The 17,119-nt window shown below is 47.6% G+C and overlaps 4 annotated features.

The window, feature by feature from the left end:
* Window positions 656-1,157: an enhancer, noted in NCBI's record as "H3K4me1 hESC enhancer chr3:5073333-5073834 (GRCh37/hg19 assembly coordinates)". NCBI's record gives its function as "activates a minimal SCP1, AML or CMV promoter by ChIP-STARR-seq in naive H9 embryonic stem cells {active_cell/tissue: H9 hESC(naive)}" and the evidence as "EXISTENCE:reporter gene assay evidence [ECO:0000049][PMID:30033119]".
* Window positions 8,886-10,085: an enhancer, noted in NCBI's record as "P300/CBP strongly-dependent group 1 enhancer chr3:5064405-5065604 (GRCh37/hg19 assembly coordinates)". NCBI's record gives its function as "activates an origin of replication core promoter dependent on BRD2, BRD4, P300/CBP, MED14 and CDK7 cofactors, with strong dependence on P300/CBP, by STARR-seq in HCT116 cells {active_cell/tissue: HCT116}" and the evidence as "EXISTENCE:reporter gene assay evidence [ECO:0000049][PMID:35650434]".
* Window positions 9,069-9,438: an enhancer, noted in NCBI's record as "active region_19374". NCBI's record gives its function as "activates an Ori minimal core promoter by ATAC-STARR-seq in GM12878 lymphoblastoid cells {active_cell/tissue: GM12878}" and the evidence as "EXISTENCE:reporter gene assay evidence [ECO:0000049][PMID:35858748]".
* Window positions 10,778-10,976: a transcriptional cis regulatory region, noted in NCBI's record as "candidate enhancer chr3.91 targeted for multiplex CRISPR interferenc". NCBI's record gives its function as "positively regulates BHLHE40 gene expression with high confidence in K562 cells {active_cell/tissue: K562}" and the evidence as "EXISTENCE:mutant phenotype evidence [ECO:0000015][PMID:30612741]".

Genomic DNA, 17,119 nt, shown 5'->3' with positions numbered 1-17,119 from the left:
CTCAGGGCCCTTTACCAAGGGTGGAGTCTTGCCTACTCTTTGAAACACAGAAATGACTGAAGGCCCCTACTTACCTCCTCAGCGAAGTCCCTCAGCTGGAAGTTCCTGGGATTTGGTGTTCTTTCAGTCACCAGGCCTGTCCTGTTCCCACCATTTTATCTCAACTGCATCTCATCTCAGGCAGCTGATAACTTTTTTCTTTAATTTTTAATTTTTATTTATTTATTTAGAGACAGGGTCTCACTCTGTCATGCACGCTGGCATGCACTAGCATGATCACAACTCACTGAAGCCTCAACCTCCTGGGCTCAAGTGATCCTCTCACCTCAGCCTCCTGAGGATTTAAAACTATAGGCATGAGCCACCACACCCAGATAATTTTTTTTTTTTAGTTTTTTTAGAGACAGGGTCTCGCTATGCTTGTCCAAGCTGGTGTCAAACTCCTGGGCTAAGGTGATCCTCCTGCCTCAGCCTCCCAAAGTGTCAGGATTACAGGCATGAGCCACCTCACTGAAGTTGGTAACTTCTGTCTGCTCAGCTCTAACATGGAAATGGTGCAACACAGTTCCTTCCCTTCAGTCTCCACCCCTAAACCCCCAAATCTCTTTCACCTAACACAGGCCCAACTCCTAACCCTGCCTTCCCCACGCACACACACAATTTTTTTTTTTTGAGACAGTTTCAATTTTGTTGCCCAGGCTGGAGTGCAATGGCATGATCTTGGCTCACTGCCACCCCCGCCTCCAGCGTTCAAGCGATTCTCCTGCCTCAGCCTCCCAAGTAGCTGGGATTACAGGCATGCTCCGCCACGCCCAGCTAATTTTTTATATTTGGTAGAGACGGGGTTTCACCATGTTGATCAGGCTGGTCTCAAACTCCTGACCTCAGGTGATCCACCCACCTGGGCCTCCCAAAGTGCTGGGATTACAGGCATGAACCATCGCACCTGGCCCCCACACACAATTTTTAACTAGGAATGATCTACTAGCCCCTTTCTTCTTCAGGCCCCAGCCTCCTTCCAAGTTCCTTGACTCTCCTTTCTCTCCCTCACATTTTTCTGCTCCTCTATTTCTCTAGATTCATCTCACTTTGGGCTGCTCCTTTTGCACAAAAATACTCAAATCTCTCTTTTGATTAGACAAAGCATTTTACTTTCCTACACCCTCCTCAGGAATGACATGCCTTGGAGAACGTCAGCGAGCAGTGCTTAGCTAAAGAAAGGCTCACCTAACTCTGTTCCCACCCTTTGATCTCAGAATTTGGGAGATTAGGCTTTGTTTGTCCCAGCACAAAGTGTGTGTGTGTGTGTGTGTGTGTGTGTGTGTGTGTGTGTGTGTGTGTGTGTCTAATTACCCCCTTCCTTCCTGCCTGCCTTCCCTCCCTCCCTCCCTCCCTCCCTCCCTCCCTCCTTCCTTCCTTTTTTTGATGGAGTATTGCTCTGTCGCCCAGGCTGGAGTGCATTGGCGAGATTTCTGCTCACTGCAACCTCCACCTTCCAGGTTCAAGCAATTCTCCTGCCTCAGCCTCCCAAGTAGCTGGGACTACAGGGATGCTCCACCACACCCGGCTAATTTTTTTTGTATTTTCAGTAAAGACGGGGTTTCACCATGTTGGCCAGGCTGGTCTCCTCAGGTGATCTGCCCACTGCAGTGTCCCAAAGTGCTGGGATTACAGGCGTGAGCCACCACACTTGGCCTCTTTTCTTTTCTTCCTTCCTTCCCTCCCTCCCTCTCTCTCTTTCTTTTCTCCCTTCCTTCCCTCCCTCTCTCTCTTTCTTTTCTCCCTTTCTCTCTCCTCCCTCCCTCCCTCCCTCCCTTCCTTCCTCCCTTCTTTCCTCCCTTCTTTCTTCTCTTTTTTTTTGAGACCTAGTCTCACTCTGTCGCCCAGGCTGGAGTGCAATGGCACGATCTCGGCTCACTGCAACCTCCATCTCCCAGGTTCAAGCAATACTCCTGCCTCAGCCTCCTGAATAGCTGGGATTACAGGCACGTGCCATCACGCCCGGCTAATTTTTATATTTTTAGCAGAGATGGGGTTTCATCATGTTGACCAGGCTTGTCTTGAACTCCTGACCTCAGGTGATCCACCTGCCTCGGCCTCCCAAAGTGCTGGGATTACAGGCGTCAGCCACCACGCCCGGCTTTCTTTTTTTTCTGGAAAGATGGGAGTCTCCCTATATTGCTCAGGCTGGTTGTCTTGAACGCCTGGACTCAAGCAATCCACCCACCCGTTTTGGCCTCCCAAAGTGCTTGGATTACAGACATGAGCCACTGCGCTCAGCCTGATTTTCTTTCTGACGTTTAAAAACAAAACAAACCAAAGAAAAGGATACATTTCACATATAACCCTCGTTCCATGCGTCTCTCAAAAAATGGGAAGAGTCAACAACTGAGTGTGTTCAATCAAAATGGCGGCAACAAGTTAAAGTTGAGTAGCTGAGTAATGGCTGCCCACTTTGGCCAGGCAAGATAGCTTGGCCTTCTTCTTCTCCAGAACCCACCAGCCTCTCTTGTTTGTGTGACCACTCTAGCTGCTGGAAGCTTTTGAGATTGTAATCCCTTGTTTGGCAATGTAACCCCAAAAGCAGAGGTTTTACAATGTCAGTCTTCTTTCTTCCCTTTCATAAGTGGAAAGACCCAGTATAGAGATTCATTTTTCCACTGACGTAAATTATACTACCACCCCAATTTAGATTGCAGATGCAGTTACAAAGAGTTTGGTTTTAAATATATTTTCCACCTCACTGCATAAATGTTATATGGCATATTTAGAAATCCTGCCCCCACCCCCAGTAAAGGTTTCTTTATGAAAACTGAAATTCCCACCATTCAACTATCTACCATGCTTTGAGATTTGGGGATGATTCTAGCTGATTCCAGAATTATAGCTGAATAAGCATAATACCTGTCTTCTGAGTAACTTTCAGCAATGTAGCCCCTAGCATATCTAATTTAATGCTTGTTAAAGGAATTGCTTTTTTGTTTGCTGTTTGAAACTCAATGCGTATTTTCAAAGCCAGCTCCAATTTCTCTTAGGGCCTGACACCATTTTTTTCTGCCTCTCCCACTTTGCAAATTAGCTGACCCTCAATTTCTTTCAGTGATCCTTAGTCCCAGCAGAGAGGAACTGGTCCTAATTGCATAAATTTTCTCCCTCATTGCTGACATTGAACAGCCATCTGATTTGCTTTCACCTGAGAGGTCTCAGGCAAGCACCATCTCAAAGGACAGGGGAAAGTCTAGAGCAGGCGTTCTCCAGGTGTGGTTTCCAGACCAGCAGCATCAGCATCATTTGAGAACTTGTTAGAAATACAGTCTCAGCCCTGCCTCAGATCTATGGAATACAAATCTGCACTTTAAAAGGATCCCCAATTGATTCATAAGCACATTCAAAGTAAAACAAGGTCGACCAGGTATGGTGGCTCACGCCTATAATCCCGGCACTTTGGGGAGGCTGAGGCAGGAGGAATGCTTGAGCCCAGGAGCTCAAGAGCTGCCTGGGCAACACAGCAAAACCTGGTCTCAAGAAAAAGAAAAAAAAAAGGAAGGAAGGAAGGGAGGAAGGAAGGAAGGACGGACGGAAGGAAAACAAAGTAATGTCTTTGGTGAAAAGAACTGTGAAGTAAATAAAAAAGGGACAGCCGGACACAGTGGCTCACACCTGCAACCCTAGCACTTTGGGAGGCTGGGGGGGGGGGGGTAGATCACCAGAGGTCAGGAGTTCGAGACCAGCCTGGCCAACACGGTGAAACTTCGTCTCCACTAAAAATACAAAAATTAGCCAGGTGTGGTGGCACACGCCTCCCAGCTACTCGGAAGGCTGAGACAGGAGAATTGCTGGAACCTAGGAGGCGGAGGTTGCAGTGAGCCAAGATCATGTCACTGCACTCCAGCCTGGGCAACAGAGTGAGACTCCGTCTAAAAAAAATAAAATAAAATACAAGAAGGTGATATTGCAGTGATTGTGAGGAGGCACTTTACATAGAACAGCTGCTCTGAAATTTTGTGGTCTCAGGACCATTTACATTCTTTAAAAAAAAAAAACAAAACTATTTTTAGGCGAGGCGTGGTGGCTCACACGTATAATCCCAGCACTTTGCAGGGGCCAAGGCGGGCAGATCACTTGAGGTCAGGAATTTGAGACCAGCCTGGCCAACATGGTGAAACCCCATGTCTACTAAAAATACGAAAATTAGCCCGATGTGGTACTGCATGCCTGTAGTCCCAGCTACTTGGGAGGCTGAGGCAGGAGAATTGCTTGAACCCGGGAGGTGGAGGTTGCAGTGAGCCGAGATCGCGCCACTGCACTCAAGCCTGGGTGACAGAGCAAGACTCTGTCTCAGAAAACAAACAAAAATTTTAATTATTTGTAGTTCAATTATTTAAAAATTATTTTGTAATTATTTTTTAATAATTATTTTAAAATTATTTGTATTCCATTTTTAAATTATTTGTAGTTCATTTAAAAATAATAAACCCATTATATATTTATATATGTTTTATGAAAATAGCTGTATTTTCTAAAACGAACAACAATAAAAGATGAGTGAGTAGAATGCATGGTTTCAATTTTTGCAAATCTCTTTAGTGTCTTCCTTAATAGAAGACAGCTGGCTTCTCAGAGCTGCTTCTGCAGTCCGTCTATTGTAGCGTTGCATGTCGTGTGGTCTCTGGAAAACTCCACCGTGCACATGGAAGAGAAAGAGTGAAAAAGGCAAATATCCTCTTAGTATTGTTAGGAAACTAGTTTTGACTTCACATACTCCCTGAAAGACTTGGGGTCTGGAACCACACTTGGAACTGCTGCTGGGATGCAGTGATGGAGAAAGGGCTCACAGGAGCGCAAGGCCTCAGAGAGGAGTCGTCAACTATGTGAAGACTTCCGGCTTTAAAAAGCATGGAGGTTGTTGCTGGGTGCGGTGGTTCACACCTGTAATCCCAGTACTTTGGGAGGCCAAGGCGGGCGGATCGCTTGAGGTCAGCTCAAGGCCAGTCTGGCCAACATGGTGAAACCCTGTCTCTACTAAAAATACAAAAATTAGCCGGGCATGGTGGCCCACTTCTGAAGCCCCAGCTACTCGGGAGGCTGAGGCAGGAGAATCGCTTGAACCCTGGAAGCGGAGGTTGCAGTGAGCTGAGATTGGGCCACCGCACTCCAGACTGGGCAACAAGAGCGAAACTCCATCTCAAAAACAAAACAAAACAAAAGCATGGAAATTGTACGGTGAGCTTCAGTGCGAATTCCGGTCGTGACTTGGTCTTAGAATAGCTGAGGGACTATGGACAGGTACCCTGCCCTCTCTGAACCTCAGTTTCCCGGTCTGCTTTATGAAAAGAGTGGCCTCTGGCCGGGCGCGGTGGCTCACGCCTGCAGTCCCAACACTTTGGGAGGCCGGGGCTGGCGGATCATGAGGTCAGGAGATCAAGACCATCCTCGCTAACATGGTGAAACCCCGTCTCTATTAAAAATACAAAAAAAAAAAAAAATTAGCAGGGCGTGGTGTTGGGCGCCTGTAGTCCCAGCTACTCGGGAGGCTGAGGCGGGAGAATGGCGGGAACCCGGGAGGCGGAGGTTGCAGTGAGCCGAGATCGCGCCACCGCACTCCAGCCTGGGCGACAGGGCGAGACTCCGTCTCAGAAAAAAAAAGAAAAGGGCGGCCTCTAACATTCCAGGCCGCGCCCCGCCCCCACCCCTCCCAAGCCTCTGGGAGGTTCCAGGAGGGATTTCAGAGCAACTCTTCCTTTTGCCAGCAGAAGGCGATGGAGACCAGCCTTGGCTGGACCACTTCCACCCCAGAGGCTCTTCACCGCCTCCCCATCCAGACCCAAGGTTCCCTAGTGGTCCAGACGGTTTCCTTGGCAGCGCTGGCACCAGGTATCTCAGGCCACCCAGGCTGTCCCAGGGAGGGGGCTGGAGGCACCGAGAGCCCTTCATATAGACCCAGACACGTGGCCAGGTTGAGATGCTGGGATTCTCCCAAACCCAGTCTGGGAGGAGCTGGGGAGAAAGAAGAACGGGTTTGGGCAAAGACACTTCAGCCCCTCCCCCCACACCCCGCGCTGGGCCTTTCGGTGGGAAACCACCCAGGAGCCGTTGACTTCTCACAGGGAAGGCCGGGCGGGGGTGGCCGGAAGGGAGCAAGACGGAGAGAGCGCGGCGCCAGCTCCCCGGGGACCGCCTGCCTGCAGGCGCGAGCCGGCGCTTGCATCAGCGCCTGCCAGGGCAGGGGCAGGGACCACGGCCACCGGCGACGTCAGTCTCTTTCCCAGAAGAATTCCACTTCCTGCGGCCGGGGCCCGGCTGTGAGGGGGCGGGGGGGGGTGGGTTGGTTTCGCAGGATGACACCTCTCGTTTACTGCATCTCCTCGGTCACACACTGTTGTCTAGGAGACCAAGAGCATCCCGGCCGCCTCAGTGAGGCTAACCCGCCCCCGGGAAGTGACCCGGGGCACGGCCCACTCAGGAAGCCACTGGCTCTAGGGTGCAGGCCCCAGGACACTAGGCCACCCACTACAGGTCCTGGATTCTGCCCTGAAGGCACCCGGTGGCCCACCTTCCATATTGTACCTGATTGTCAGGTTTTCAAAGCACACTCGCCTGAGGGTGTTAGAAACAAGCCAGAGAAAACTAAAGCCCAGAGAAGAGCCCTAGGATAGCCTGTCACTGGGAGAGCTGACTTTTCAAGCCTCTGTGATTTGGTTTGGTTTGGGTTGGGTTGGGTTGCGTTTTTTCTTACCTTTCTTGCCATAGATCAGGGTCTCACGAACCTCTTAAGAGTCAATGGCCCGTCCACTATCAGTGAAGCAATATATATATTTTTTTATTTTGTTTATTTGTTGTTGTTTGAGACAGAGTCTTGATTTGTCACTCAGGCTGCAGTGCCGTGTCTCGATCTTGGCTCACTGCAACCTCCGCCTCCCTGGTTCAATCCATTCTCTTGTCCCAGCCTCTCCAGTAGCTGGTATTACAGGTGCATACCACCACGCTCAGCTAATTTTTTTTTTTTTTTTGTATTTTTAATAGAGACAATGTTTCACCATGTTGGCCAGGCTGGTCTCGAACTCCTGACCTCAAGTGACCCGCCCGCCTTGTCCTCGAATAGTGCTGGGATTACAGGTGCGACCCACCACACCCGGCTGCAATGTTTGTTTTAATTACTTTTGGCAAGTATTTCCTGAGTACCCCGAGCGTGCCAGGTGAAGAGAGACGGATAATAACAGCGCTAGCCAGCACGTATTAAGCCTTGCAAAGCTGCACGGGCATGAACTTGTGGCTTCAACACAACCTTATGAGGTAGGTGTTATCCCCATTTTACAGAGTAGAATACCCAGTTAATGTGAGACCAGCTGGGAAGTAAAATCAAATCTGAGTCCTAAACTAGAAGTCTGTACCATTACCAGGCAGCCTTGCAAAACATCAATTAACATGACAGACATGGCCCTTTTTCTTTGGAATTGATGCTTTTTTAGTGCATTTTTAAGACCATGCATTTAATCTTGAATTATGTGTTAAAAATGTGAGATGAGGATAAAAGTAATTCCAAATAAGAAACACATAATAACAGCAATGCAACTAGCATTGAGGCCTACTGTATGCCAAACGCTGTGCCAAAGCCACTACCATTATTACCTCATTTGATACAACAACCCTATGAGGTCAGTTCTATCACTTTGGTCCCTACATTGCAGATGAAGAGACCGAGGCACAGAGGCGAAGTAACTTGTCCATGTCCCAGAGCTGTAAATTAATGCTCAGTAATGAGCAGAATAGCGTCCTGGTCCATGTAAGCACTTAATGCACTTGTACTCGGCTTTGGAAAGAATGGAGAGACTGCAGTGTATACAAACATCCCAGGAAAACCTCATTCATTTGGACCATTTCCGTCTAGATTTTATTATAATTTGAAAGGAGCCTAGGGTCGTGTTCTCTCTTTTTTTTTTTTTTTTTTTCTGCTTGCGGGGAAAAGCTAAGCAAATAGTACAAACAAAGTAAAAATATTTTTGTGGGGCGTTTTAGAATTTAGACGAGATAGGGTGCATTCAGGATAGTATGACCGTAGACACATTTTAGTATTTATAAAGCATTTTCCTACCCAGGAGTTAACTTTATCTTCACAATACCCCTGAGAAGTAGTTAGAACTGGTCATCTTAGTCCCAGTCTACAGGTGAACTCTGAGAATCTTTCTAAAGAAGAATTTCTAACTAGTAAAGAGAACAAATGATCTTTAGGGACTCGAAAGTAAACTACCCACAATAGCTGAGATGTGAAAACAATAAATGAATGGATAAACTAAATCTAGTATGTACATACAATGAAATATTATTCAGCCTTAAAAAGGAATGAAATTCTGGTAAGTGCTACAATATGATGAATGTTGAAGACATGATGCCAAGTAAAATAAGTCAGACACAAAAGGACGGTATTGTATGATTCCACTTATATGGAACACCTAGACTAGACAAATTTATACATACAGAAGTAGAGTAGAGGTACCGGGGGCTGGAGGGAGAGAGGAGTGGGGAGTTCTCGTTTGATTAGAATTCAATGAACAATTTAATTGGTGATGAATTGAAGGGATGCTGAACAAGCTCTAGGAATGGGTAGTGATGGTTGCACAACGTTGTGAATGTACTTAATGCCTCTGAATTGTGCACTTAAAAATGGTTAAAAGGTGGCTCACGCCTGTAGTCCCAGGATTTTGGGAGGCTGACATGGGTGGATCGCTTGAGCCCAGGAGTTTGAGACCAGCCTGAGCAGCATAGTGAAACCCCATCTCTCCAAAAAATAAAAAAAATTAGCTGGGTGTCGGGGCACATGCCTGTAGTCCCAGCTTCGTGGGAGGCTGAGGTGGGAGGATTGATTGAGCCCTAGAGGGTGAGGCTGCGATGAACGGTGATCACACCACTGCACTCTAGCTTCAGTAACAGAGGAAATTCTGTCTCCAAAAAAAAAAAAGTTAAAATGGTAAATTATGTGTTATGCATATTTTACTACAATGAAAAATTTTAAGAAAAAAAAGGTAACCCACATAGCAATCCCCATGCTTATCCAAGTCTTTCTTTAAAAGCAGACTCCTGGGTACTTATTAAAGCAGAAGCAGTCTTAACCCAGGCCTGCACTTGAAAGCAAGAAAACATCATGCCTTTAAAAAATAGCTCACGAGCGTGTGTTTTCACTAAACACAGGAGGCTGGTATTCCCCTCAGGTATTCCAAGTGAGCAAGATATGGCTGGTAGAGGGGAGAATTGGGAGGTGAGTCACCGGTTTGGCAGGTGACGTCACCATGAGGTGACCGTCTGCGTGGTGTGCCTTCCAACTCCCACGTCTCCCATTTTCTCCACTCAGGGGCGGCCAGGTCACCAGCTGGCTCAGCTGGAAGTCTATCTGTTCTGGTGTGATGTTTAGTGAGAAACATTCCTCTTTATGACTCAGTGACTCAATATCCCAACAGATGGGTTCAGGAAGGCTCCAGCAGCTAAAGCCAACTCCGAGGTCGAAACCTGGATAGCCAAGGAGGAGATGAAAGACATAAACCCTTGGGAAGGGAGAGGAGAGAGCTCGTTTTCTGTTTGTTGGAATGCTAAATATCTAAGAAGTAATGGGATGATTTAGGATAATAATTATTATCCTAAGACAACTTAGGAGACTGGCACACGGAAGAGGATAGTAAATATTTATTGAATGAAATATTCATTGATTATTATTTCAGAGGTATTCAGCTGCAAGAACAATCCCAAACTATGAGTGAAAAACACAGATTCTCGGGCGGGCACAGTGCCTCACGCCTGTAATCCCAGCACTTTGGGAGGCCAAAGTGGGTGGGTCACTTGAGGTCAAGAGTTCGAGACCAGCCTGGCCAACATGGTGAAACCCTGTCTCTGCTAAAAATACAAAATTAGCCAGGTGTGGTGGCACAGGCCTGTAATCCCAGATACTCAGGAGGCTGAAGCAGGAGAATCGCTTGAACCCAGGAGGCAGAGGTTGCAGTGAGCCGAGATTGTGCCACTATACTCCAGCGTGGGTGACAAAAGGGAAACTCCATCTCAAAAAAAAAAAAAAGAAAAAGAAAAATGTATATTCTTACTTATGTCTCACCAACTCTAGTTTTCTCAAAGGGGCACCAGAAATGGAGCTTGATATATTTTCATGGAATTGACACAGGTTTGATACGGACAACTATGATACTGACACAAAGAATCATGATGTTTATGCAGGTAATGAGATCATTAACAAGTAGTAATGTGAAGGGATTGTCTTGGACATGTTTGTACACTCATCCAGCAATTGTTAGCAGAGGTACCATATCTATATAAGATGAAAGGAAATGAGAAAGAGAAAGTATTTGCTTTATTTGTTTTTCCTTTTTTCTCTTTAGGCTCTATACTGTTGAGTCAATCTGGGATGGTTTAAGGTACATGAGCCTCGGTATCAGGCAAGCCTCAAATTAGTCAGTGAGGACTCTTAGTTGCAAGACAGAAACTGGATTCAAATTAGCTACAGGGGGAAAAAAAAGATCCAGCTGATGGCTTCAGGCATAGCTGTTTCCAGGTGCCCAAATGCTAGTGTTAGAGATTTGTTGTTTTTTTAATCTTTCAGCTCTGCCTGCCTATAAGATGACAAGGAATTGTCCCAGTAGCTCTAGTCTTACCTTTTGTGAGCTTAACAACCTCATTAGAAAGAGATCTTTCTTCTCAACAAAAATATCAGGATTAACCCTGGCCAGCCTGGCTTGAGTCACATATTCCTCCCTAGACCTGGAGATGGTGTTAAAGCCATAAGATGATGTTTCCAGAATAAAAAGGAATGGTTGCTGGGCAGGCAAAAACAATGGGTGTCACTCCCTCTGTGCAAATGTATGCCTGTGGGAGAGAGGGTTTATAGTTTATGTGGCACTTTCCTGATTTGTCACTACCTAGTGAGTCAGTCTGATGTGGTGGAATACGAGCGCTCTGGACTCAACAGGCCTGAGTCAAAATGTCGGCTCTTCATTAGCTGTGTGGCCTTGGGCAACTTACTTAAAAGTAACCGTGCGGGTAACTAGCATGTTTTGAGCGCTCGGCATGTGCTAGGTGTTACATATATTAATCTCGTTACTCCACAGCTCTGCAAAAGAGTTATTTTCTCCTTCTTATAGATGAGGAAGCTGAAGATCAGACAGATTAAGTGACCTCCTCAAGGTCACTAAGCTAGCTAGGGACACTCCAACCCAGGGTGCTCTGACTCAAGGCAGCCTCTCTGACCTTCCCTCTCCATGCCTGAAAAATGGACATGACATGGAGAAGAAGAAAGTGGCAGAAGAGGAGGAAAAGGAAAAATACTGAAACAGTGAAACGCCCACAACATATTAGCTATGCAATCAATCTAGTTCCCTTCATCCGTTCTTCCACTCACTTCTTTTCTTACTTTCCTCCATCTTTTTCTTTCTTTGGGCACTTCAAAAGGTCCTAGCTTTCTCCTTCCTTCCTTCCCTTCCTTCCTTCTTTCTTTCCTTCCTTCCTTTTTTTCCTTCTCTTTCTTCCCCCCACCTGCCCTTTTTTTTTGGACAGGGACTCACTCCGTCATCCAGGCTGTAGTGCAGTGGCGCGATCTCAGCTCACTGCAACCTCCACTTCCCATGTTCAAGCGATTCTCCTGCCTCAGCCTCCCGAACAGCTGGGATTACAGGCGCCCTCCACCGTGACTGGCTAATTTTTGTATTTTTAGTAGAGACAGGGTTTCACCATGTTGGCCAGGCTGGTCTTGAACTCCTGACCTCAAATGATATGCCCGCCTCAGCCTCCCAAAGTGGTGGGATTACAGGCTTGAGCCACTGCACCCGGCCCATTTTTTCCCCCTCTTTTTGAAGTCCTTACCTGGTCCAAGGTGGTATTTCTGAATCATAACAGGATAAACACTGGGGCTCTAGTCATTTTTAAAGCACTCACCCTCATAAGCATGACTGCCACCCCTAGAGGAACCCCCGGCCATGGCCCCTACATCAGCACTCCGGCTTGACCAAGATCATGTTCTAGCTCACTGGGAAGGGGGAAACCAAGGTACTTGGGATTCCTCCCACTCCAATTCATGCCTCTGTACCCATCAGTCTCTGCGTGAAGTTTTCCTAATCTGTTTAACTCATGTGCCAGCTCTGACTGAGGTGGGGCAGTGGCAGGGGCACCCTTTTCTCTCCACACTGTTTTGGCTTCAGCCCTCACCTGACCTTTGTTTCACCCCCTCCTGCCTACTTGGGGAGCCTGCCCAAGCCCTGATGAAAGGCGAGGGAAGTGAGCGCCAGGCTGAGCCATGGGGTTTGGAGATAAGCACCTTCCATTTTGGACATGTCGGAACTAGAAATCAAGAGGAACTGGCACTCCAAAGGGAGAGTCAGGCTTCTTCCAGATGCTGGGCTGGTGGTGGTGGGGGTCCCCTCGGCAGACGCAAGGGTAGGACTTCACAACATAGTCTTGCTGGGTGAGGAACTTGCCGAGGGTGAGCAAACAGAGAACCTCTAACTCCTTAATGATTTTTATAGAATGTTCTGGCCTTGGGAACAGGAAGTCCTCCTAAGTGACAGAGCCACCACTTCACCCACACCTTGTACAATGTGTGAGCGTGTGCAGGTCATTCTCCACATGGCCACATGCCCTGTTTGGTGTGGGAGCCGCACCCCATGCCCAGGCCCCTCAGGCCGCTCCACATGGGTTCCCCCACCCAGGTGGGCACTGCAGTTGGGCTCAGGGTCTTCCCTCTTGGGGTAGCATCCCTGGTAGCAGAAACTGCCTCCTCTTCACCCCATCCTCAACGTAGGGCACAACATTCAGAAAGTCCGAGTCCAGGAAGGCTTTTGTGAGATAAAGGGGGAGCTGTGGCCAGAGAGGAAAGGGGGCATGGTGATGAGTTCACACTTATTAAATACCATCAGCCCCGAGAAAGAGTATGAATAATCCCCATTCTAGAGATGGGAAAACTGAGACTAGAGTTAGTTAACAGGAAGATGCGGTGTCTACCAACAGAACAATTTCATTTTATGGACTTGAGTCCCTCCCAAGATGCCTGGCCCCTGAACATTCTGACTTCCTCACCCGGTTCTTCTTAAACTACAATGCGCCCACAAATTCCCTTGTTCAAAGGCAAATTCTGATTCAGCAGTTCTTGGGCGGGGCCCGAGATCCTGCCATCTGACAAGCTCCGGGGCTGCTAGTCTGAGACAACACTTTGAACAGCCAGCGAGGCTCCAGGTTGAGGCTGTCTTTCTGATGAACTTACGACAGCACGCGCTTCCACTCCTCACACAGGCAGCGGGGCTGGGTGGTCTAGAGTCGCGCTATCCTAATTGAGATGTGCTGTGAGTGTGAAATACACACCAGATTTTGAAGATGTTGTAAGAACAAAAGAACATAACATATCTCATTAATAATTCTTTATATGAATTACATGTTGAAATAATATTTGAGGTAAAATCAAATAGATTTTTTAAAAATCTATTTTAACCGTGTCTTTTTTCTTTTCTAATGTGGCTACTAGAAAATGTAAAATCATGCATGTGGCTTGTATTTTTTTTTTTTTTTGAGACAGGGTCTCACTGTCACCCAGGCTAGAGTGCAGTAGCATGGTCATTGCTCTCTGCAGCCTCAATATTCTGGAGTCAAAGGATCCTCCCTCCCATCTCAGTCTCCTGAGTCGCTGGGACTACAGGCACTCACCACCATGCTTGGCAAATTTTTTTATATTTTGTGGAGATGGGGTCTCCCTATGTTACCCACGCTGGTCTCCGACTCCTGAGCTCAAGTGATCCTCCTGTCTCAGTCTCCCCACGTGCTGGGATTACAGGCATGAGCCTCCAGGCATGAGCCTCCAGGCCTGGCCACATTATATTTTTAGTGAACAGCTCTGGTTTAGAGCAGTGGTTCTGAACCAGGCAGGGGTAATGCTGGCACTCCAGGGATATTTGGCAATGTCTGAAATGTTTTTGGCTTGGTTGCCATAAGTAGTGGGGTTGCTACTGGCATGTAATGGGTAGAGGCCAGAGATAGTGCTAAACATTCCATAGTGTCCAGGACACCCCCTTATCACCAAGAATGTATCCAGCCCCAAATGTCAGTAGTGCCAAGGTTGAGAAAGTCTCATCTAGAAACATCGCCACCATCTCTGAGATTATTTTATTGACTTCTTAATTTGTCCAATGCCTTCACCCCTCTACTAGAACACGAGCTGCATGAAATCAGGGACTTGCCTGCCTGTAGCTGCCAGAACAGTGCGTGGCACAAGGCAGCATTCTGTAGTACACATTAAATGTCCCTCTATCCACTTGAGCCCACCAAGTGGTTCGAATTCGCCCATGCAAACTGGCACAGGCCCACCAGCCAAGGGCCTCAGAACACAGTGAGACCACTCCACTCTGAAATCAAGCTAAGACAAGACAAAATCTAAATCCACAGGTCTTGACAGGTTGTCCTCACAACTGCACATTAATCAATCTCTCCACAGGCAGGCATTAACCCCAGGGAGCAGAGATAGGAATTGCCTCTGAAGGCTTGTTAGGCCTCTGTGCACAGCTTGGCCCAGCCCAGCCCTGGCAGGCCTTTCATCCCGGGCGGGGCCACCTACCAAGCTGCCACAGACCAAGCTTCGTTCGTTTCCAGTGATTTTATTCACCACCCAGTGGTGGTTTCAAAGGGCTGGCTCCAGCCCATCTGATCTGCTGCCTTTTCTGAGTTGCTGGGCCCTGTGTGGAGCCTAGAGCTGGGCTTTCTAAGGGAGAGTTGTCTCCTAGCCCTCTCCTTTCGCAAGCCGGTGGGTGGGGTTAGGGTGAGGCCAAAAGAATAACTTGGGTCCACCCAGGGTGTGGGAGGGAATGGAATCAGGGCAGATTAATTTCTCTTGTTGAGATAACTCTTTAATCGTCAATATAAAGTCTTGAAAGCCACTGTTCTAGGCCTTCTCCCTTTCCCTCTTGTCTCTCCCTGGGGTGCGGCCCTCTCCTGGTAGGAGTCCAGAGACCTGGGTTTGGCCCCAGAGCTGGGCTGTGTGACCTAGGGTAAGGGAAGAAAGCCCTTCTGAGCTTTTTAAATTTCTACTATTATTATTATTTTTGAGACAGAGTCTCGCTCTGCTGCCAAGCTAGACTGCACTGGCGCGAACTCGGCTGACTGCAACCTCCATCTCCCGGGTTCAAGCAATTCTCCTGCTTCAGCTTCCTGAGGAGCTGGAACTACAGGCGCGTGCCACCATGCCCAACTGATTTTTGTATTTTTAGTAGAGATGGAATTTCACCATCTTGGCCAGGATGGTCTCGATCTCTTGACCTCGTGATCCACCTGCCTCAGCCTTCCAAAGTGCTGGGATTACAGGCGTAAGCCACTGCACCCGGCCTCTGAGCTTTCTTTTAAATGGAGTAGGGGAGAGAGGAGTAGGAGTTATACTGATCTTTAAATCTTTTAGCATTTCAATCTTGCCTCTAGTCTTTAAAATAAAGCCCGAGCCCCTTAGCGTGACCCAACTTCTCTCCTGTCCACCTTCCTGCCTCCCAGTCGGCAGTCCAGCTCCTTGCCCCATATGGTGAATACATCCCACTTCAGCCGCAGTGGCCTATCTTCAGTTTTGTTAAAGTGCCTTGCTCTCTTTTACCTTCTAGTCTTTGGACTTGTCATTCTGCTCTTCCACGGAGTTTTCTAGGGTAATGCTTAAATCTATGTATGGTAGATCACATGACATCTGTTCACTGTGTGCCCTTGGGCAAGTTACTTAGCTTCTCTGTGCTTCAGTCCCCTCTTGCAGAAAAATGAGAATAACACTGGTCCTTAATTCATGGGGTTATTGTGCAGGTTGAATGAGATGATGCTTGCAGAGTTGTTTACAGCAATATCTAACACCCAGAAAGCAACAAGGGGAAACGTTCCCTGCCATCATTATGATTATTTCTGGAACGTGTTCACAATCAACTCTCAGGAATCAGCTCCGTTGTTACCCCCTTTCAGGAAGGCTTCCCAGGTTTCCACTCTCCAGCTCCCGTGTCTGCCCCTCCTCTGCCTCCTGACTCACCCTGGGTTCACTGCTGTCACCACCCTTATCACCGGTGTGGTAACTGCCTGTTTACTTGTCTAGCTCCTCTCAATAGATTGTCACTTCCTCAAGTCTAGAGATTAGAAACAGACCACATGCTGGCCTAAGCCACAGATGTGCTTTAGCTGGACTGGGGGCAGGAAGTTTGGAAAACTTTTAATAAGGTGTATTTTTTAAAACCGAAAAAAATAGTTTATTTTAAAAATGGGATGATTTCACATAAAAATCTGAGTTTCCAACTTCTCTTGGAAAATTAGAGACTGCAAATACAAGCCCCTGTCATTGCCTGCACCTGCGGGAGCATCGGCTTCAGGGGGGCAGGTGCTCCTGGCTTATTGCAGGTTCCACCCAGCCCGATTACTCACACTCTGCCCCCAAAAATAAGGTGATGACATAAGCCTCTCCTCTGAATCAGGACACCTTTGAGAGTGAAAGTGATATGTTATTAATAACCACAAATAAACCAGACAGATTAGGGAAAACTGGAAAACAGACTCCCGCTGAACTACAGAGTCGGGGGCTTTGACATCTTTGGGTCCCACATGACACACTTCCTGCCACATATATGCTCAATAAACGATCATCACAACAACTAGGGCATCTTGAGCATTTGCTTCATACAAACTTGTCCAATCCATGGCCCACAGGTCTAGGACAGCTCTGAAGGTGGCCCAACACAAATTCGTAAACTTCCTTACAACATTATGAGGCCGGGTGCGGTGGCTCACGCCTGTAATCCCAGCACTTTGGGAGGCGGAGGCAGGCGGATCACGAGGTCAAGAGATCGAGACCATCCTGGCCAACATGGTGAAACCCTGTCTCTACTAAAAATACAAAAATTAGCCGGGCGTGGTGGCGGGTGCCTGTAGTCCCAGCTACTCGGGAGGCTGAGGCAGGAGAATCGCTTAAACCCAGGAGGCGGAGGTTGCAGTGAGCTGAGATCTCACCACTGCACTCCAGCCTGGTGACACGGCGAGACTCCATCTCAAAAAAAAAAGTTTTTCTGCATTTTTTTAAAGCTCATCAGCTATCGTTAGTGTTAATGTATTTTATGTGGGGTCCAAGACAGTTCTTCCA

This window comes from Homo sapiens, chromosome 3 (assembly GCF_000001405.40).
Source record: "Homo sapiens chromosome 3, GRCh38.p14 Primary Assembly".
NCBI classification, from domain to species: domain Eukaryota; kingdom Metazoa; phylum Chordata; class Mammalia; order Primates; family Hominidae; genus Homo; species Homo sapiens.
Note: the sequence above shows the minus strand (reverse complement) of the source record. Positions and strands in the feature narration are given on the sequence as shown.